Consider the following 22892-nt stretch of genomic DNA (forward strand, 5'->3'; position numbering starts at 1 on the left):
AAAATAGTGCCACTACTAACCACACAACTGTGATAGAGATTACAGAGAAAATTATTTAAGCACCTAGAAAGAAAATAAGTTATCTAAAAACAAAAATGATATAGAATACAGACTTGTCCTGTATATGCTAAATATCAAAATATAATGGTTATCATCTCCAGAATTTTTAGGATAAGGATTATGTGAGGTTGGTATTCTGTAAAACTACTTCCCATAGGAGAATGTACAGTCTAACTGTGGGTGCCAGCCATCTTCTGAATGTCAGTGACTGCCCCCACTTTGATTCCCCTCACTAACATAGACCAGGTAATACATTATGAACCTGCTTCCAATGAGGCTGTCTGTCATTTTTTTTAACAATTTACCGAATAGCTAATGTGCAGAATAACTGATATTCGCAATAAACTTTTTGTTTTTTACCATTTAAATTATTTCATTAATTTTCCTCTTCTTTTTCCAGAACTATATTTTTAGGAGTGTTCAATTATTTCCAGCCCCCTGATACTACAGCATGCAGCAGACAGGCAGAGTGGAGACTGTGTCCTTTGCCAGCATACTTTTTTCCCTAGAACACTCAATTTGTACCAGGCTATGTCATTCACTAATTCTCACTGTTTTGTTAATTCATTCAATCCAATTTTCTTAGTTTCTTGGACATTTTACCTCCCGACTCAATTTCACTCTCTCCAACACATCTCCTTCTTAATTCTTGGTGATTTCAATACCTGCATGCAAAATGCATACACAGGACATCTCAATTATTTGATCTCCTCTTCTTCAGCCGTTCATTCCAGGATCATTCCCTGGAATTTCTCAACTTAAAAACTGAACACCTTGTAAAAATGATGATTTCAAATAACCTCTATCCAACCACCTCCTATTTTTCCAATTCACTCCCTCTCACACTCTGAATCCAAAATCCTGCATCTCAACAGAGACTCACAGATGTTACCACCTTTGTATCATGCCTCAGCTCCACCTACCTATTTGCTCCTTTTTAGTTTGCCTAAATCCCAAGGTCATTTATTTTAACCATTACAGTGAATATGCCATCAACTTCCTGTTTTTTTCCCCCTTCATTTTATTCTGGGGCAAATCAGAATAAAATGAAATAAAATAAAATAATGAAAAATAGTCCAATTTATAAGAAATTTCATTAAACTGACATAACTGCTAAGCAACAAACAATATACCCACTAAATGTTTAGAGCAATAACTACCAGAAAACCCATAATAATGCTTAAATTTTAATTTAAAATTAAGTTAATTAATCTCATTAAAATTGATTAGATTTTAATTTAATTAAATTTAAATCTAAATCTAAATTTAGATCTGGTTAAATTTAATCTGCCTTATCCAGGCCTGCACTTGTGGAATTGAACATATTTGGAGATAAATACAACTATTTTTACCCAATATAAAATATGGTTCGTTTGGCTGGTGAGTCACAAATGACTCTCCATGAGAATGCATGTTTTGATCAATGGGAGTTTTATTTCTTAGTGCTAGCAAGGAGGACGCTGGGAGTATTCTCCAAGGCAGTGTCTCCCTGAGGGAAATTGACAGGGGGGTTTCATGGGGTGATGGAGAGGGGAGAAGGCACATTGTCACGTGTAGAGGAGATGCAGGTGCAGGGAGTCATCATGCCAGCACATAGGTTGCACGTTGTGGTGATAAAGCTATAGCTCCTCCCTGGTTTGGGTGGAGACTTTAGCATGGCCATGAAGAAAGTTCACTTGAGTTCATCTGTAAGTTTCTAGGGTCTGTCAAAGGCTAGTTCCAACAACCGAGGTGACCACATTCCATACGGGGTTTGGGGAGAAGCAGGCTGCAGGGTAGGAGGCTGTAAAACAGGCTGCTTGCTCGAGTTGACTAAATTCATGTGGTTCCTTGGAGACCCTGTCTCTCCTCTTACCCTATGTTGACTTCATCAGTATAAACACTTTTACTCTTTCATTTACACTCCTAATAGGAGGAAAAGACAAGTCACACAATGGAAGGAAATATTTGTCAATCACATACCTAATAAAGGACTTTTTCCTCAGAATATATAAAGAACTCTCAGACTCAATAATAAGGAAACACACAAGCTCCCCAAATCCTCAAATTATTTGAGCAAATACTTGTCCAGAGAATATGGACGTATGGTAAATGCACATTTAAAAATGTGTTCAGCATCATTAGTCATAAGAACCACGGTGTGATACTACGTACACTTTTAGGATGCACAGAATTTAGGCCGGGCACGGTGGCTCACGCCTGTAATCCCAGCACTTTGGGAGGCCAAGGCGGGCGGATCACGAGGTCAGGAGATCGAGACCATCCTGACTAACACGGTGAAACCCCGTCTCTACTAAAAAATACAAAAAGTTAGCCAGGCGCCTGTAGTCCCAGCTACTTGGGAGGCTGAGGCAGGAGAATGACGTGAACCCGGGAGGCGGAGCTTGCAGTGAGCCTAGATCGCGCCACTGCACTCCAGCCTGGGTGACAGAGTGAGACTCCGTCTCAAAAAACAAAAACAAAAAAAGAATGCACAAAATTTAAAAGCCTGATCAAATCAAGTGCTGGTGAGGATCTGGCAGAACTAGAACTGGAACTCACTGCTAGTGGGATTATTGTATGGTGCAGTCACTTTAAGAAACACTGGGAAGTTTCTTTAAAAGGTAAACATACACCCACCATATGACAGCCATACTACTCCTGGGAATTTACATGAGAAAAGTTAAAGTATAGGCTCATAGAAAGACTTGCATGGCAATATTCACTGCAGCTATTTTTAGCAGCCAAAAAAACAAAGGCTAGAAATAACCCAAATTCCTATCAACAGTTGAAGCAATTTAAACATTGGGTATTATCCATACAATGGAATACTACCCAACTATCAAAGGGATTGGACAATGAATACCGGTAACATCAGATATGGATCTCACATTTATACTGAGTGACAGAAAGCACACAAAACAATATGCACTGTATGATTCCAGTTACAGAAAGTTTCATAAAGGCAACTTAATCTATCGTGAAAGAAGCAGATTGGCTGTTATGAGGGAAAGAAGGTGTGAGGAGGAGGGATTCCCAAGGGGCAGGAGACAACTTTTGGGGTGACCACAGTGGCCATCACTTCCCTGTGAGCTTGACTAAAGTTTAGACAGATTTCTTCCTGACTCTAGGCTCCAACCTCTCTTGTTCCAGACTACTACATAATTGTCAATTCTGCCCCTTTGAGCTGTAAATCTTTTTTTAAAAGTCTCTGATCAGTTTCACAACACAAGACTTTCTTTCTGAGAGACCTGGGAGTCATCTTTTTGAAATGTAATAATCAAGAATGACCACTCTCTGTGGGACAGCAGGAGCCTAACTTTGCGGAGTGTCTTTCTCCACGTTATTAGAACTGCTTCCCATGAATACAGAAGAATTTGTTCAAATTAATATTTGGCCAATTGAGTTTTGGTGATCTATGCTGCCTCTGTGAACAAAACACAGACAAACAGAACATGTTTCTTATTGTCAAGGAATGGTTTTGCCTCCTTTTGGTGTTTTTTCCTGTTATGAAGGTTAGGCATATTCTTGGGTCATGACTTTCTCAGACCTGAATATTTCTAAATGGATTTGAACCCAAAACATAGCAATTTAGTCAATAAATAGCAAAACACTAACATATTCCTGTATGTTTTTCAAATATTATTTTATTAGCTAACTCCTCTATTTAGCTTTTCTGAGTCTTCGACTTTCTTAAGGCAATTAATATCAAATAAAAAAATTAAGGACAGATATAGCAAATGATTTTTCCTGCCACGGGAACTTTGTGGATTGCATTCTGGTTTCCTAATATATTTCTCAAAGGTCGTTTTGTCAGAGTTCTTCCTGCCCTCAATTCCATGTCAATTTCTTTATAACGTACGCTCTTGTCTACACCCACTTTTCCGTCATGGCACCCATCTCTGTCGTTTTATCTGTATTGTGTGGATGTTTGACTGATGCTCACCATGCATGAGAAATGTGAGTACAGAAACATGCAGGACGGGCTCTCCTGTGCTCACTGTTCTTTCCTCAGCAGCCTATGTTGATCTTGGTACGTGGCAGATACTCAATAAATATTGGTGAAAAAAATGAATCAGTGAAAACGCTTTGCAAATCTGACATTGCTATAAAGCATTATTAATGTTTGTTGTAAATTTAGGCAAGTGCTTCAAACCCAGTATCTTATTGTTATTTGGTTATAGTTAGTTGAGCATATTTCACAATAAACTCTAATACACACAATATATTATATAACACGGGGGTATAATACTGAGTCCATGAAATTCAGTCAAGTTGAATTTTGTATTATTGTTAGTAATACTGTTTATTTGTTGTAGTTTGTTTAAATATGGTTTTAATCAACTAGAGCATCGAAAACTTTCTATAAATAACTACTGGTCTGGTCCTATCATTGTCTTGCTTCAAGACTGAAACATCTGTATGTGTGAAGAACAAATCGTAAATTGTAATAGGTCCTGTAACATCTTCAGCTGACTAACTAAACAGCACATATAGCAGTCTTTCACTCCTGTAATTAACATTGAATAACAAAGCTGGAACATTTATTATTCATCTTAACATAAATAATACATTTAGTTCTGTTATACTTCAGATGAACATATTTCAGGCACTGTTATAATAAAATATGTGCTAATTGTCCTGTTTATAAGTACATGTAATTGTAACTGAAATTTAACATAGCCATAACACAGAATGAAGTTTCATAGTTAAAATATTACATACGGTATACATGTATTGAAATATCACACTGTACTCCATAAATATGTACAATCATTGTGTGTCAATTAAAGTAATAAAATAAAAAATACAAGTTCCAGAAGAGGCATACTTCAAAAATTAAAGGAGAATATATATGTGTGTTTAAGTATTTGAGGCTTATGTCTTCTAGAACTTGTATAATCTTAATATATATGAAATACATACATATATCAAATAATATATTTTAGCAAAAAAGAGGGTATATTTTGTTGAGCCCCATTGAATAATGTATGGTAAGTAGCCAAATAATGTATAGTAGTTAGCCAAGCAATTAAATAACATTTATAATAAATATGCTAAAAAGTGGTTCTTACCCATAAAAGAGTAAATTTTTATACCAAACTCAGAAAACCATTTTATTTTTTCATAAGAACTGAGAGGTTAACACTGTTAAAGGTAGTTAAATTGGTGACAATAATAAAGATGCGATGTGATTTGTGGTGAGAATGAACTAAACCATGATCTGCATTGGACACTTTAAAATATTCAGGCAATTTGAAGGAAAATATATAAAATAAAAAGAGGAACATTTTATCTGTAAGAGTGATCTAGAAGTTAATCAATATTAATACTACAAATTAAATATTAAAATTTGAGAGAATGACATATTAAATAAGGAGAAAAAATGTGCATCATCTTAACCATAAAATATCTGATGGCTCTGGCTGTCAATGGAGTTGACATCTTCCATTCCTAGCACCCTCATATCACGCTCATCCAATTTATCTTCTTACAATCAATCAGTGAAGCTAAAAGGATATCAGAAAACTAATGTTTTGTGAATGGTAATTATGGAAGACACTTTACTTAAATTATCACAATTAATCTTTACAGTACTCTGTGAATTAGATATTAACTCAATTTATATATGCAAACAAGCTCAGAAAGGTTAAGTAACTTGTAATAAAATAATATAATCAGTGAAAAACAGGGCCTAGAATAGCATCTGTTTGTAAAGATGAGCTCTGTCCACTCTACTACACTGCCTCAGGCAAATAATTCTTATCAGATTCAATTAACCCAATATTTTTATCTTAACTGATATCATAATGTGCAGATAGAAGCAGTTATCAAGAATATTGATTTTATCTCTGCAAAGAAAATGAGCCAGCTTTTTTCTTCCACAAATAAATGAAAAGAAATATTGTAACAGAGACATGTAGGTCATTTTTTGAGAGAGAGAAATGTAGCAACATGTTTTATTTATTTTATTAAAGCACACAATTAAAAAAATCAAAAGCTCTAGAATGAACAGCATGGCTGTCTGTTCTATCCTTCAGCACCCTCAGGTCTGTCTGCAGAGGCTGCTGGGTATGATGGTTTTGATGTTTGGTGTTTCTGGGTAATGACTTCCATGATTTTAAATGTACCTTACAGCTGTACTTATGTGTCAGTTTTACAGAATGCATGTGCATGGTTGTTTTTGAAAGATGAACATTTGACTCACACAAATTACTTTCTACCTTCCTTCTCCTCCTTGCCCACAAGCTGATACAATTTTATTTTATATTCATCTATTGTTTGTGTTTGCATTTTTAAAAATTGTATACTTAATCCTCTATGTCATTTTCTTTCAGTTTTAGTTGTAATATCTTGTCTTCCCATTGTGTAAAATAAAGATATCATGGCTTACTATATCTCCTTAACACCTCCCATGCAATATTTCCCTCTTTACAACTTTTTTACTGTCCAGGTCACTGACTTTATTTATATTCTGTTCTATAACCACGAAGCATTAAATAAATGATTATATATTTAATATTTTATCTCTCAAATGCCTAAGATTTTTGAAAAATATTATTATGAATATAAATTAATAAGATAATATTTGTTGTTTTTGAGTCAAGTAATGAGTTAAGATTTCATTTTTATCACATTCTATTATTTTATTTTTATTACATATTTTTTACTAGTGACATACAAATAAATCTGTTTATAGTATCAAGGCAACCACTTTGCACTCCAGAAATTTCTCAGAGTCATATCATGTATTATTTTGCATTCTGCAGAAGAGAAAAAGACTGGCTGACAAGGATTATAGAAACATCCTAGAGGAAGAGATCCTTTAATTACAACTTAATGAATGGAAAGAAGGAACCATTCAAGTGGCGATGAGGAGAGACATTCTAAATGCAGGGAATCAACTGAGATAAAGCAAGAGAGGGAGAATTATGACTCATTTGAGTACAGCTTTAATCCCAAGAAGCATAGTAGGGGAGATATGGCTAGCAATGTAAGCAGGGACAGAATTCAGGCTCCTGATGAGGATATTTTACCTTGGAATAATGGCAATTGGAAAGACCAGAGGGTCAGGGAATTCTGCATAGCCAACTCAATCAGTGACTCAGTAGGGAACCAAGGCTTATGAATAGCAAGCCATTCCAATGACTAGCTGAGAGTTTCACGTGGCAAGTCATTTTATACTAAGAATTGGATGTTCAAGGGAGAGAATATGACAGATATGTTATAACCTAGTGTTTTTTTCTGATATCCCACTTTATTGAAAGATGGTTTACAGCACATATCCTATTTTTATAAATGGCAATCTGCTTCTTAACAATCAGCCTTTTACTTTACCTAAATTCATGATGTATTAGAAACAAACTATTCAGGGCATAAAATATTTAAAAATCAGTAGGATTTCTATATGCCAACAGTGAACGATCTGAAATCAAGCAAGCAATCTCATTTATAATAGCTACACCAAAATAAAATGCTTAGGAATAAATTTAACAAAAGAAGGAAAAGATCTCTGCAATGAAAACTATAAAACACTGATGAAAGAATGAAGAGGACGCAAAAATAATGAATAGGTATTCTGCTGTCACATATTGGAAGAATTAATATTTTTAAATGTCCCTTCTACCCAAAGATCTATAGATTCAATGCAATCTCTATCAACATACCAATGACATTCTTCACAGAAATAAAATAAATAATTCTGAAATTTATATGGAGCCACAAAAGACCCAGAATAGCCAAAATAATCTTGAGGAAAAAAACAAAACAAAACAAACAAACAAAAAAAAAACAAAGCTGGAGGCATTACAATTACCTGACTTCCAATTATACTAGAAAGCTATAGTAATCAAAACGGTATGGTACTGGGATAGAAACAGAGACATAGACCAAGGCAACAGAATAAAGAACTCAGAAATAAATCCCTTCATTCATAGCCAACTCATTTTCAACAAAGGCACCAAGAATATACACAAGAGAAGGACGCTATCTTTAACAAATGGTGCTGGGAACCTGGATAGCCATAGCCAGCAGAACAAAACTAGATCCCTATCTCTCACTGTATACAAATATCAACTCATAATGAATTAAAGACTTAAATGTACGACCTTAAACTATGAAACTACCAGAAGAAAATATTGGGAAAATTCTTCAAAACATTGATCTGGGCAAAGATCTCAAAAACACAGGCAACAAAAGCAAAAATAGACAAAAGGAATTTTATCAGGCTAAAGAACTTCTGCACAGTAGAGGAAACTATAAAGCAAAGAGACAGCACACAGAATGGGAGAAAATATTTGAAAACTCTTCAACTGGCAAAGTATTAATTACCAGAATACGTAAGCAACTCAAATCAACAGCAAAAATAATAATAATAATAATTAAAAATAAGCAAAGGATTTGAATAGACATTTCTCAAAAGAAGACATATAAATGGCAACCAGGTATACGAAAAAATGCTCAGCATAGCTAATCATCAGAGGAATGCAAATCAAAGCCACAATGAACTATAATCTCACTCCAGTTAAAATTGCTATTATTAAAATAACAAAAAAATAACAGAGGCCAGCAAGGATATGGAAGAAGGGAAACATTCGTAAACTGGTAGTGGGAATGTAAATTAGTACAGCGACCACAGAAAACAGTATGGTGGTTTCTCAAAAACTAAAAATAGTACCAACATATGATACAACAATCCCATGGCTGCCTATATATCCAAAAGAAGGAATTCTTAATACATGTTTATGTTATATATGTGTTGATTTCCTTATTTGCAGGTTATATTTTGTTATTCATTTCTGAGATAACTTTTTTCTTTAATGTCTTTCTGAATTTTTTCCACTTCAATTGTATATCTTTTGCTGTTCATTCATTCCTATTTTAAATTTATGCCTATTGGTTTGTATTTCTATATGATGGTTGCTTATTTAAATGATTAAGCTATAAATTTTCTCATCTTTGCGCGCTAGGTTTCTTCCCTGCTTTACAGATTTTTTCCTTTAAGTATTTTCATCAGACTATGTCTCATCTTCACTCTGTTTTCTTCTCATAGCTTTGATTAAATGAAGACTTAGATTTCCTGCTCATTATTACATACAAGGATATTCCTTTTTAAACAATGATAAATTATTTTAATAATTTTATGATGGGAAAGTTTAAGTAGCTTAATTCATTTTTTATTCAAAGTACTCTCTTCTGTTGGTATTGTGAGGCACCGCATTATTAAATCAATGACATCTACAGAGAGTCCATCTTCTTGTAACTTTTTACACAATACCTGTTTTAAAACAATCTTTCTTGCAGTCACTTTGTTTTAATACCTTTCCTTCTAAGTCTACAAGTAATGCCTTCCCTCCCCCAGGAGCTTTCATTTCTAAGACAGGCACCTCTGGTCCTTCGCAATTTCCAACTCCATAATCGTTAGTACTACTCTCAAACCTGTTGTTATTCCATCATCACTCATGTTGGGGCAGCCTTCTTGGACTGACCCACCCCTCCCCACCACCACTGGGTACGCTTGCGCTTCTCCACCATCTGTCACTTCTGATCATCTTCAGCTTAACTTTCCCTTAATTATATTGCTGATAATAGTTTTAGAAACACCTCTGCTGACCTCAGGAGTTTATTTCCAAATTATCAGTAAATTAGGATTTATCACATTCTTTATTTATGAATTATCCTCTTAGTATGAGTTTTGAATGATAGTATATGTTGTCTTTATTTAGCTCAATAACTTTTAGAAAATGTGTGTAGAAGATTTCATTTAGCAGTCACATTTATGCTATAGGATATAGGAATCCCTCTCTATAACTGTCGTTATATCATTATCACCATTCGGTTTCCTAAGGGCAGCTTTTAAGCAACATTCATCTTAATTTTTTTTTTGTTATTATTTAGTTTCCTTAGGTAAGCTTTTAAATATCACATGACATCTTATTTATATATTTAGAATTTTAACCTAGAAAATCTCTAGACTATGGTTAAGCATTTTTAATTTTAGAAAACATTTATTTCCCTACCTGATCTCAGCAAATTCTCAGAACTGTTGTTTCTTCTTTGACGTCTTTGTGCCAAAATGAGAGAAATTACACCAGGAAGAAATTTATACACATAAAATGAAGATTAGTGGAAAGTGCTGAGAGAGAAAATGAAAAAATATAATATGTCTGCAAGAGAAATGAACAGCAATAGGATAAATGTATTGATTGATACTATGACATTTTTCTTTTATTAAAATGTATTAAAATCTCAGTAATATAAGACACCTATAATTTTAAATATTTCTCCAAATATCTATATTGGAATATAAATTCCTTCACCTTCATTATTAATAGACGTCTGAGTCTGAAGAATGTATTCTTTACCTACCACAGTATTTTTTTAAACCCTCTCATTTTAAATGGTGATTGAATATATTATTTTACTTAGAAGATACCTCAAAGTACAATGATAGATTATATATAATAACACCAACATATTACATGAAGACTAAGATTAATGCTTACAACAATTCTCTAAAATAAGTATCAACATTAATATTATAAAGCTGATAAAGATTGAGAGACTCACCAAATAAACCGTACTAAAGATGATAAAGCTGAGGCTTTCAGCCTGTCTTATCTAACTTCTACCATAAAATTATGAGCTCCTTCAAAGAAAACATAATTTACTTAGTATTTTTGTCCAAAAGTAAGCAGAATGCCACAATAGAAGGTAATGAATAATGTACTGAATATCTTTTTACTTGTATATATCTTATTTTATAGAAGTAGCAGTATTTCAACAGTGTTACATCCTAAAGTAGATATCATGAATCATGAAAAATATGTTCAAATTTGATCAATTAAAAATTATTCAATTCATTTTATAATTCATTGGTGTTTACTCAATGAACATTGAATGTAAGAGAGCCCATGCTTTCAAAAAACTTATAATCTTTTGAGAAGCTCATAAACTAATAAATTCAGCAGAGTATAACACATGCAGTAATAGAGAAATATAAAAGATACAGAAGACATACAATAATGAGAGTTTAGGGAATGTCTTATAAAGGAGCTTAGCTTTAGCTTTACGTAAAGCTAAATTTGAAGTGTAAATATCAGTTCTTCAAATCTGGCTAAGAAAAGAAAAGAGTTTCAGAAAGAAAAAATGATATATGGAAAATCAGATTCCAAAAAAAAAAAAATGAAGTATGTTTAAATATCTACCTACAAAAGCCAGACAAAAGAGGGTATAATAAGACATTCTGCTGGTTTCTGAAAGCAGTAGGGAGCCTCTAAAATGACCCAAATTATCCTCCTTACTGGTATTACTACCTTTTTATCCCCTCTTCTTTATTGTGGTTAAAACTAGTAACTCTCTTCTTAAAAATAGAATATGGCAAAAATGACGAGATGTCACTTTCTGGGACGTGGATATGAAAAGATTGTAACTTCTATCTTGCCCTTCCCCTGTCTTAGAACCTTAACTCTCAGAAAAACAAGCCACCATTTTTTCCATAGACATAATGAGACCAAACTGGCAAGAAACTAATGTATCTGGTCAACAGCTAGTGAGAATATGAGGTCTGCCAAAAAAGCAAAAAAAAAAAATAAAATTTTAAGACAGCTCTAGGCTGGTGGACAACATGATAGCTTGTTATGAGACTGAGGCAGAGACAGTTAGCTTGGCCATGGCTGGATCCTTGCCATCATGAGATGGTACATGTTTGTTGCTTTAATCTGCTAAACTTTGGTATAAATGTACCAATAAATAACGATTACAATTGGATAAAACAGATGATAGAGAGTCCATACAAATCACACTGAGGATACTGAAATTTGACCCCAAAGTTATGGAATACATAACGATTTCAGTAATAGTGGCAATATTCGTAAATTAGTATAACTGAAATTTCTTTAATATTAATGAAAATGGATATTTGATATTAGAGGCAGAGGGCAGAAAAGCCTAATGGGAGAGGAATTCATCTCAGCAAAAAACAGTGAAGTTTGAAAGGCAGAAGTGGAACTCAGAAACACATAGAATGCAAAGCAGGAGACCTTTGTTGCAATCAATTCAGAGGAGGCAAATGAAGAACAGTCTACGATGATGTCAAGATTTTCAGTCTAAATGATTGGCTGGATAAAGAGGCCACCATTAATCCCAAGAAAGACCAAAAAGGAAGAATAAGTTTGAGTTAAGTGGGGAAGGAAGGGGGCAAAGGATGATTTCCATCTTCAGCTTGTCAGACATTTGAAGGGCTTACGGTACCCTGAAGTGGAAGTGTGAGTGAATGAAAGCTTCCGGGGAGGAAGAAGAGAAAGGCCAAAAAAAAAAAAAAAAAAAAAAAAAAAAAGGCCAGCATCCATGTTGAACACCAGCATCTACACTGTGGAAAGAAGATAAGGAGGAAGGAAAAGAGACAGAAGGGAGTATCAGAAAGCTGCAAAGAGAGCTGGGGGAGCCCAAGGTCATAGAAATCAAGGAGGAAGGATTGCTGCAGAAGACAAGAGGGAGGTGCCAAATTCAGCAAGAAAAATAGTTGCTTGAAGCCTGGCAGAGAGTTGTAGAGCTCTGGAAGCACCTGACTACCAGAGCTGTAGCATTTTCACTACTGCTGTAGGTATGCTTAAGACTGATATTCTGTCTTCCTTGTCCAGAGCCTGAGTTCTGAGCATTCATTAACTCTTATTTGCTTTTCTATACCAAGATAAGCACTACAAGAAGGCCATGTGTCATGGATATATAAACTATATTTTGAATTTAATTTTTTTCATGTTTTTTTTTAGCAATGAGAGGAAATAAAAACCTGTTACTAAATGGTTCACCGTCAAGGGTTGTCAATGAAGTCTGGCATTAGTTGCTATCTTGAAACAGGAGCGGGGTACTAGCCTCACTGAGAAAAATGGGGAATATAATTTTTTGACCTATCTAATAGTGAAAACACTTCAAAAAAAGAGAAAATCACATCAACTTGTGTTTTCTTAATTCCTCCATCAGACATCTTTCCTCCACTATTCTTTGGATTTATTCATCAAATAAAGTCTCTTCCTATTTATAAGTTAGAAATAACTAAATTAGACCCACACAGGTTTCTACTAGCCCCTCACCCAATACAAGCATTTCACTTGCAAAGCAAACATTTATTTTCTGAAGCAAGTTAATCTGACTCCCCAATTAATAATGTTGAGGTAAAGATAATAATGTTCTTTTTAGGCCTTCCAATTTTCTCAGTCTGTTTTCTCTCTCTAGGTATGCAAAATACGAAGGCAGAGAGAAAGTTTTAGAACACACCTATATGACCCAAGTAATGAGTTTCCATGTGTGCCCTGGAGGTTGGAAGAGGAGTCAAGACAGATGCTGGAGGCAGATGGGCCTTAAGGCACAGACTGCCCTTGGGGTATCATTTCACAGGTATTTGGTGCAGCAACTGGAAAGTCAGATCATTTTCCATTTACACATATCCCAGCGGGTAGAGACCATAAGTGCTCTGAATCCATGGTGGCTGCAGGTGCCAAGTCCTGTGGTCATGACCATAAGTTTATCCCTGCTCCTGCTGTTCATGGTGTTGCTATTTAATACCATGGAAAACATTCTGCTTTCCAGCATGATAGCAGCACGGGAGCAATGTGTGTTCTCTCTCAACTGAAGGGATGGTCTTTTACTTCTATAGTACCAGATGGATCCAAATTTAATTTCGGCTAAAACCCTGTGAATGAACAGTCCTAAAGTGAGAATTCAGAAGCTCATGCTCATTCCTCAACCATTGAAAAGGGAAGGATGCATTGAAAGGGATGAAAAAAGAAAAACGAATCTTTCAAGTCGTGATTCTCTTACATTATTTTGGTGAAAGATATTCAGATTTCTATTCTTCTTTATTTAATGAAACATATCCAACAGCAGGAGAGAGAATTACATATAGTCTGCAGGCACGAACAATCTCCTATAATACTGTTGTTTCCAGCAACGTTTACCCAGCTATGAAAAATATTTATCCAATAACCCCAGGACCTTGAAAAGAAATGAGCTGTCTGTGACCCTGACCTGAAGTTGTTTAATTACCTCTTCAAGAGAAGTTTTTGCTTTCATATTTTGTTTTCAGCATTTTCTGATAATGTTGGTAAAGTTTTCATTTTTTTCCTTAGTTTACTTAGTTTTTAACCCCTTAATTTTTAAAATTTACATTCATTTTGTATTTATGTTTTAATTTTGAGTTTATATAGACATTTTGTTTCTTAAAACTGAGTATTAGTAAATCAAGCAAACAAAACAAAACCAAACTTTGGGAATCACTTGTATTTACAGTCCTTTCCATATAGATGGGATTAGACAATTTAAACATCTTAAGTAATCTTTTAATTTTTATCTTTTTGGGAAAAAAGCAGGTGTATATATTTATGGGTTACATAAGATATTTTCATACAGGAACACAATGCATAATAATCACATCAGAGTAATGGAGTGTTCATCACCTCAAACATTTATCCTTTCTTTGGGTTACAGGAAAATCAATTATGCTCTTTTAGTTATTTTAAAGTGCACAATAAATTATTGTTGACTGTAGTTACTCTTCTGTGATATCAAATCCTAGGTCTTATTCATCCTATTGAATTAAATTTTTGTATTTTTTTGTCAAAGGGGCAAAATGAGTTCACTTAAAGGAATACTAAAATACTTATAAATAAATGTAAAATACATGATCTAAGATTTCTACTTCATCAGAGAACAATTCTGATTAGTTTTTTCCCAAAAATTATATTAGACTGTAGATTTGAGATTTTTAAAAACAAGCACCCTATGATCAGATCGTATTATTAGGACCTATAATAGAAAACAAGGTGATATGACACTAGTATAGGAGAAGGTGACAGATTTGGGGGTTTGAAAAGAATGGAGTGAGTTTCAATTGCCCTCTTTAGTATGGGTGGGAAGCTCAGCAGGTGACATAGGAGGCTGGCTGGGCAGCACGGGAGACCCTGCTAGAAAATGGAGCCCACCCTGTCTCATTACTGGCATCCATTTGTACTGCATGGGCTCTTTTTAAACAGCAATGATCAAGCTGGTACAATGTGAAGAGGGCATTTACCTGGATTCAAGGAGGATTTCATTTTATGTTGAAGAAAAGTTGAACATTTTTGGAATGGAAGGGTTAGAATATGGGCCAGAGCATGGTTAAATGAAGAGACCACTAGACATGAAAGGGAAGGGTTTCAGCTGAAAGAAGATTGAAGGCACTGGAGGCCTGGGGGAACTGAAAGAAATGTAGTGGGGTGAGATACATGAGGGAGTAAAATGTTAGAGTCTGAACAGGATTCCCAGCATGATCTGGAGGACATGGTGCTGTGGGCTTGTCAGGTAGGCAGGAAGGCTCAGACACAAATGAGGAGCAGCTCAATACGGGTGAGAAGCCAAGAGGCTGAGGCTCTGGCAGTGACCTGGTGTGGGAGGCAGCCCAGGTTTGGGATGGAGGAGTGGAGTGTGGCATGGGCGACACAGTCTCTAACTAAGGAGTGAAAATTATCATCAGTGAATGAGAGTGGCCAAGGGGTATGGCGATTCCACCCTAAGCCCCAGGACTGCAAATACGTCATCTTACATGGCAAAAAGGACTTTGTGTATGTGCTTTAAGTTACTAATCAGTTGATTTTAAGAAATATCCAGGTGTGCCTGAGTAATCACACGAGCCTTTAAAAGCATAAGGGGGAGTCCAAGAAACTCAAAGCACTAGGGTCTGGCTTTGATGGAGCAGGGGACAACAAGCCAAGGAGTGCGGGCAGCCTTGGGGCCTGAGGTTGTCCCCCCAGCTGACAGCCAGTAAGGAAATGGGAACCTCATAACCATATCAGCAAGCAACTGGGATTTTGTCAATGGCCTGAATAATGCTGCAGACAGGAGCCTCTAAATAAGAGCCCAGACTCTCTGAACTCCAATTTTGTCCTTACAGGATGCTAAGCACAGTGCCCAATTGAGCCCACCAGAATTCTGATACTTCTGACCTGTAGAATTATGAGATAATAGATGGATGTTGTTTTAAGCTGCCAAATGGTGGTATTATTTTCAGCAGCAACGGAAAACAAATTCGTACCCAGTTGTCACCACCATTATGTCTTTTCATAAAGTAATGGAAGGACAATAAAATAGACTCCAATGTGTGAACTGAACTGGAAAGGACTGTGACTCTTGGGAACATGAAACAGAATAATAAGATTTGAGAGATTTGGAAGGAATTTAACATGTTTGAAGAAAGAGAGGCTTCAGGTAAGGTGAAATACAGGAGAAACCTTGGAAAAGAGTATGGATGCAGAAAATGGAGACAAATGTCCTGGTTGAAGAGGTTCCATGGCTGAGCAGGCTGAGCAGGCAGTGTTACGGATTCAGGCTGTGTGATGAGAGGAGATATTTTCTCCACGTTGTGTGGGAAAGGCAGGGACAGGCAGCACATCTCTTGAATAGGAAACAATTTATGATCTCTGTATAGAGGTAAGTACACAAAAACAAGTAGTTTCTGGGTAGGTAAGGATGGGAAATTTTATGTATGAAGCAACTTGGGATAAGAAATTTCATTTGAAGAAGGCTAGCATTCAATTACAGAAAAAAAATGAAGTTGAGTGTTTCCGTATCCTCTGGCCATATCCTATCGTACTCTTAACCCTTTTTAAAAGTCAGAGTCTTTACATAGCTTCTCTCTTATTTATAGTTGATCCTCTTAAAATTTCTATTTTACTGATTTGCACAATTAATGGAGGAGCTGGGATGCTGAATCCAGAGCTCACGTACATGAGCATTAAATTATATTGCTCAATAAAGGTACTACTTATGGCTGTGATGGATAGAAAGGGAAAGATCTATCCTAGACCTTAAAGCATTATTAAGATATAAAGAGTCAAAAGAGAAATATCACTTACAAAATAATGTTTTAAAATCTCTATCTGCACATTTAGTCTGTGAGATCCGATGTGCATTTTAGGTGCATGTAATTGTAACCATACTTTAAAATAATTTTTTCAAATTTCTCTTACAGATTTTGGCTCCTATAAATGATACTTCTGGGAAATTAAGATATAGATGATACACATCACAACTCCTTCAACCACAAGTAAATCAAGCACATTGGTAATCCTTTACAAAACTTAAGAAAATTTAATTACGTTATTTCTTCAATTTGAATTTTCAGGTGTATGGCAAATATCTCACCAAAGAAAATTATTAGTGAAACCTCAAATTGAGCAGTTATTACTCTTTCACAAAATTATATCTTATAGAATCCTTGAGCGCATCAAGTGAACTGCAATGTCATGAGTAATAAATTAAAAAGAACGTACCCATTCATGTGTTGAGTTTTCACTCAGAGACCTGGGATGATCATTGATATTTTCTTCCCAGAAAAATATACAAAGAAACTGACTCGGTGTTTTAATATTCTCTGTATTTGTTATTCATGTTTTTCTGGACAAATTACCTTTTACTACATTTTATAAGTAAGATAAAAAGAAAATATCATTCTACTGCCTTGGAATTTTAAGTAGTTTATTACCTAACAGTTATTTTTATTTGAGGAGAAGAGAAATGATCATCAATCATAGAAATATATTTACTTAAGCAAGAAACATAAAGTTGTCTCAGTCTTCTCATTTACTCTGGGAAATGAGTAATATAGCTAATTGAGAAAACATATTTATATATAACTTTCCACATGACCGATTATTTACAGATATGTCACTGCTACTAAAGGATTAACTTGTTTCTTACATAAATCTTAAAAACTAGACTGCTCATAAATGCAGCTATTACACTAAAGAATTCAGATTCCAATCTCAATAATAGTAAATACCACTTTCTGTATAATGTAAAGAATCTGGACTTTTTTTTTTTAACAATAATATTATATTATTTTATTTTTTTCCAATTCTTTTTTTTTAATTTTATTATTATTATACTTTAAGTTTTAGGGTACATGTGCACAATGTGCAGGTTAGTTACATATGTATACATGTGCCATGCTGCTGTGCTGCACCCATTAACTCGTCATTTAGCATTAGGTATATCTCCTAAAGCTATCCCTCCCCCCTCCCCCCACCCCACAACAGTCCCCAGAGTGTGATGTTCCCCTTCCTGTGTCCATGTGTTCTCATTGTTCAATTCCCATCTATGAGTGAGAATATGCGGTGTTTGGTTTTTTGTTCTTGCGGTAGTTTACTGAGAATGATGATTTCCAATTTCATCCATGTCCCTACAAAGGACATGAACTCATCCTTTTTTATGGCTGCATAATATTCCATGGTGTATATGTGCCACATTTTCTTAATCCAGTCTATCATTGTTGGACATTTGGGTTGGTTCCAAGTCTTTGCTATTGTGAATAGTGCCGCAATAAACATACATGTGCATGTGTCTTTATAGCAGCATGATTTATAGTCCTTTGGGTATATACCCAGTAATGGGATGGCTGGGTCAAACAGTATTTCTAGTTCTAGAACCCTGAGGAATCGCCACACTAACTTCCACAGTGGTTGAACTAGTTTACACTCCCACCAACAGTGTAAAACTGTCCCTATTTCTCCACATCCTCTCCAGCACCTGTTGTTTCCTGACTTTTTAATGATTGCCATTCTAACTGGTGTGAGATGGTATCTCATTGTGGTTTTGATTTGCATTTCTCTGATGGCCAGTGATGGTGAGCATTTTTTCATGTGTTTTTTGGCTGCATAAAGGTCTTCTTTTGAGAAGTGTCTGTTCATATCCTTCACCCACTTTTTGATGGGGTTGTTTGTATTTTTCTTGTAAAATTTTTTGAGTTCATTGTAGATTCTGGATATTAGCCCTTTGTCAAATGAGTAGGTTGCAAAAATTTTCTCCCATTTTGTAGGTTGCCTGTTCACTCTGATGGTAGTTTCTTTTGCTGTGCAGAAGCTCTTTAGTTTAATTAGATCCCATTTGTCAATTTTGGCTTTTGTTGCCATTGCTTTTGGTGTTTTAGACATGAAGTCCTTGCCCATGCCTATGCCCTGAATGGTAATGCCTAGGTTTTCTTCTAGGGTTTTTGTGGTTTTAGGTCTATCGTTTAAGTCTTTGATCCATCTTGAATTCATTTTTGTATAAGGTGTAAGGAAGGGATCCAGTTTCAGCTTTGTACATATGGCTAGCCAGTTTTCCCAGCACCATTTATTAAATAGGGAATCCTTTCCCCATTGCTTGTTTTTCTCAGGTTTGTCAAAGATCAGAGAGTTATAGATATGTGGCATTATTTCTGAGGGTTCTGTTCTGTTCCATTGATCTATATCTCTGTTTTGGTACCAGTACCATGCTGTTTTGGTTACCGTAGCCTTGTAGTATAGTTTGAAGTCAGGTAGCGTGATGCCTCCAGCTTTGTTCTTTTGGCTTAGGATTGACTTGGCGATGCGGGCTCCTTTTTGGTTCCATATGAATTTTAAAGTAGTTTTTTCCAATTCTGTGAAGAAAGTCATTGGTAGCTTGATGGGGATGGCATTGAATCTATAAATTACCTTGGGCAGTATGGCCATTTTCATGATATTGATTCTTCCTACCCATGAGCATGGAATGTTCTTCCATTTGTTTGTATCCTCTTTTATTTCCTTGAGCAGTGGTTTGTAGTTCTCCTTGAAGAGGTCCTTCACATCCCTTGTAAGTTGGATTCCTAGGTATTTTATTCTCTTTGAAGCAATTGTGAATGGGAGTTCACTCATGATTTGGCTCTCTGTTTGTCTGTTATTGTTGTATAAGAATGCTTGTGATTTTTGTACATTGATTTTGTATCCTGAGACTTTGCTGAAGTTGCTTATCAGCTTAAGGAGATTTTGGGCTGAGACGATGGGGTTTTCTAGATATACAATCATGTCATCTGCAAACAGGGACAATTTGACTTCCTCTTTTCCTAATTGAATACCCTTTATTTCCTTCTCCTGCCTAATTGCCCTGGCCAGAACTTCCAACACTATGTTGAATAGGAGTAGTGAGAGAGGGCATCCGTGTCTTGTGCCAGTTTTCAAAGGGAATGCTTCCAGTTTTTGCCCATTCAGTATGATATTGGCTGTGGGTTTGTCATAGATAGCTCTTACGATTTTGAGATATGTCCCATCAATATACATAATGGTAAAGGGATCAATTCAACAAGAAGAGCTAACTATCGTAAATATACATGCACCCGATACAGGAGCACCCAGATTCATAAAGCAAGTCCTGAGTGACCTACAAAGAGACTTAGACTCCCACACAATAATCATGGGAGACTTTAACACCCCACTGTCAACATTAGACAGATCAACGAGACAGAAAGTTAACAAGGATACCCAGGAATTGAACTCAGCTCTGCACCAAGCAGACCTAATAGACATCTACAGAACTCTCCACCCCAAATCAACAGAATATACATTTTTTTCAGCACCACATCACACGTATTCCAAAATTGACCACATAGTTGGAAGTAAAGTTCTCCTCAGCAAATGTAAAAGATCAGAAGTTATAACAAACTGTCTCTCAGACCACAGTGCAATCAAACTAGAACTCAGGATTAAGAAACTCACTCAAAACCGCTCAACTACATGGAAACTGAACAACCTGCTCCTGAATGACTACTGGGTACATAATGAAATGAAAGCAGAAATAAAGATGTTCTTTGAAACCAACGAGAACAAAGACACAACGTACCAGAATCTCTGGGACACATTCAAAGCAGTGTGTAGAGGGAAATTTATAGCACTAAATGCCCACAAGAGAAAGCAGGAAAGATCCAAAATTGACACCCTAACATCACAATTAAAAGAACTAGAAAAACAAGAGCAAACACATTCAAAAGCTAGCAGAAGGCAGGAAATAACTAAAATCAGAGCAGAACTGAAGGAAATAGAGGGAGACACAAAAAACCCTTCAAAAAATTATTGAATCCAGGAGCTGTTTTTTTGAAAGGATCAACAAAATTGATAGACTGCTAGCAAGATTAATAAAGAAGAAAAGAGAGAAGAATTAAATAGATGCAATAAAAAATGATAAAGGGGATATCACCACCGATCCCACAGAAATACAAACTACCATCAGAGAATACTACAAACACCTCTACGCAAATAAACTAGAAAACCTAGAAGAAATGGATAAATTCCTGGACACATACACCCTCCCAAGACTAAACCAGGAAGAAGTTGAATCTCTGAATAGACCAATAACAGGCTCTGAAATTGTGGCAATAATCAATAGCTTACCAACCAAAAAGAGTCCAGGACCAGATGGATTCACAGCCGAATTCTACCAGAGGTACAAGGAGGAACTGGTACCATTCCTTCTGAAACTATTCCAATCAATAGAAAAACAGGGAATCCTCCCTAACTCATTTTATGAGGCCAGCATCATCCTGATACCAAAGCCGGCCAGAGACACAACCAAAAAAGAGAATTTTAGACCAATATCCTTGATGGACACTGATGCAAAAATCCTCAATAAAATACTGGCAAACCAAATCCAGCAGCACATCAAAAAGCTTATCCACCGTGATCAAGTGGGCTTCATCCCTGGGATGCAAGGCTGGTTCAATATATGCAAATCAATAAATGTAATCCAGCGTATAAACAGAACCAAAGACAAAAACCACATGATTATCTCAATAGATGCAGAAAAGGCCTTTGACAAAATTCAACAACCCTTCATGCTAAAAACTCTCAATAAATTAGGTATTGATGGAAATATTTTTAATACCAACTGGATATTTCTAAATAAATATTTTAGAAATATTATAATCAAATCGCAATCTCAAGACTGAATATTAATAGCAAACAGAAGCAACTTAAAAATATACATAGATATTACACATGTAAAGAAAAAGTACATACATGTCCACAGTCAAAAGAAATAGATAATAATACACAACACTCCAGTTAGTTTTCGACAAAAAATGTTTTCCACCTTCCACCCCACCCATTACTCTTTGAGTAGGTTCTGAATGATGATAGCAAAATGAGTAATGCTAGCTGACATCATTATGAATGGCAGCCTAAAAAAAATGCACGAAGGACATGCTCGTTACAGGCCCTACATCACAGATTCTATTGCAGCTTTGAAGCTAAAAACTAAATCTGTTTCCTGATGTGTTAATGGAACTAATAACTCCCATTTCTGCCTCGAATTCCTTTTCATTTCCCTAACTCTGAAAGCAAGGGAGACTTAAGGTTTGCAAAGTAAATACCAAGTAGCAACCTCAGTTGCTGTTTCTTGAACATACAAACTGAACAGTAGAAACTATTATTAAACCTGAATTTTGATCATTGTTTGTGCAGATGAAATATATTTCAAAACCAAAATAAGTATTAAGCATAATTAATAAGAGCCTCTTCCCAATGTACATCTGAATGAGAGTGCAAAATAATTATTCAAACTTTCTACCTTGCAAACACTTTACAATAAGAAGATGTATTCAGTTGCTTCCAAGTTGTAACTCTGAACTATTAGGATTAAGCATTTATAGATACTTCTTGGGCTATGCCTTTTGTAATTACTGTCAAAATGTGTTTTATCTAGTACAATACAGCGAGTTTTTCTGAAACATTTTGCTAAGTAGATAGTCTATAATATACAAGTTATGAAAATCAGAAAAGTGAGGATTTTGTGCAACATTTTTATTATAAAAATTTATGTCCATTTCATGTACCTAATTCACAACAGAGTGTGTTGGGAGTTTACTATGAGTCAAGTAACACTAATTACTCTTCTACAATGTAGCTTTATTTGTAAATTTTATTTACATTACACATAAAACCAAGTAAAACCTATGGCATTTTAACGTTTTTTTTTTTAACTAAAAGGTCAAATCCTAGAGAAAATTAATCAATAATTGTAAAACCTAAGTTTCACATTATTCTGTGCTTAGG

General features: G+C 35.4%; 1 long non-coding RNA gene across 2 annotated transcripts in view, besides 2 other annotated features; it reads right to left on the reverse strand.

The window, feature by feature from the left end:
* The window catches only part of LOC105372190 (uncharacterized), a 312925-nt gene that overhangs the window by 46340 nt on the left and 243693 nt on the right, over positions 1-22892 (reverse strand). The gene's annotated exons all lie outside the window — the stretch shown is intronic.
* Positions 612-781: an enhancer, noted in NCBI's record as "experimental_49980 CRE fragment used in MPRA reporter constructs". NCBI's record gives its function as "activates a minimal promoter by MPRAs in K562 erythroleukemia cells, with activity observed for the non-introgressed 18:71092638 variant allele {active_cell/tissue: K562}" and the evidence as "EXISTENCE:reporter gene assay evidence [ECO:0000049][PMID:34662402]".
* Positions 6813-7483: an enhancer, noted in NCBI's record as "OCT4-NANOG hESC enhancer chr18:71098754-71099424 (GRCh37/hg19 assembly coordinates)". NCBI's record gives its function as "activates a minimal SCP1, AML or CMV promoter by ChIP-STARR-seq in naive H9 embryonic stem cells {active_cell/tissue: H9 hESC(naive)}" and the evidence as "EXISTENCE:reporter gene assay evidence [ECO:0000049][PMID:30033119]".

This window comes from Homo sapiens, chromosome 18, assembly GCF_000001405.40.
Source record: "Homo sapiens chromosome 18, GRCh38.p14 Primary Assembly".
Taxonomy (NCBI): Eukaryota; Metazoa; Chordata; class Mammalia; order Primates; family Hominidae; genus Homo; species Homo sapiens.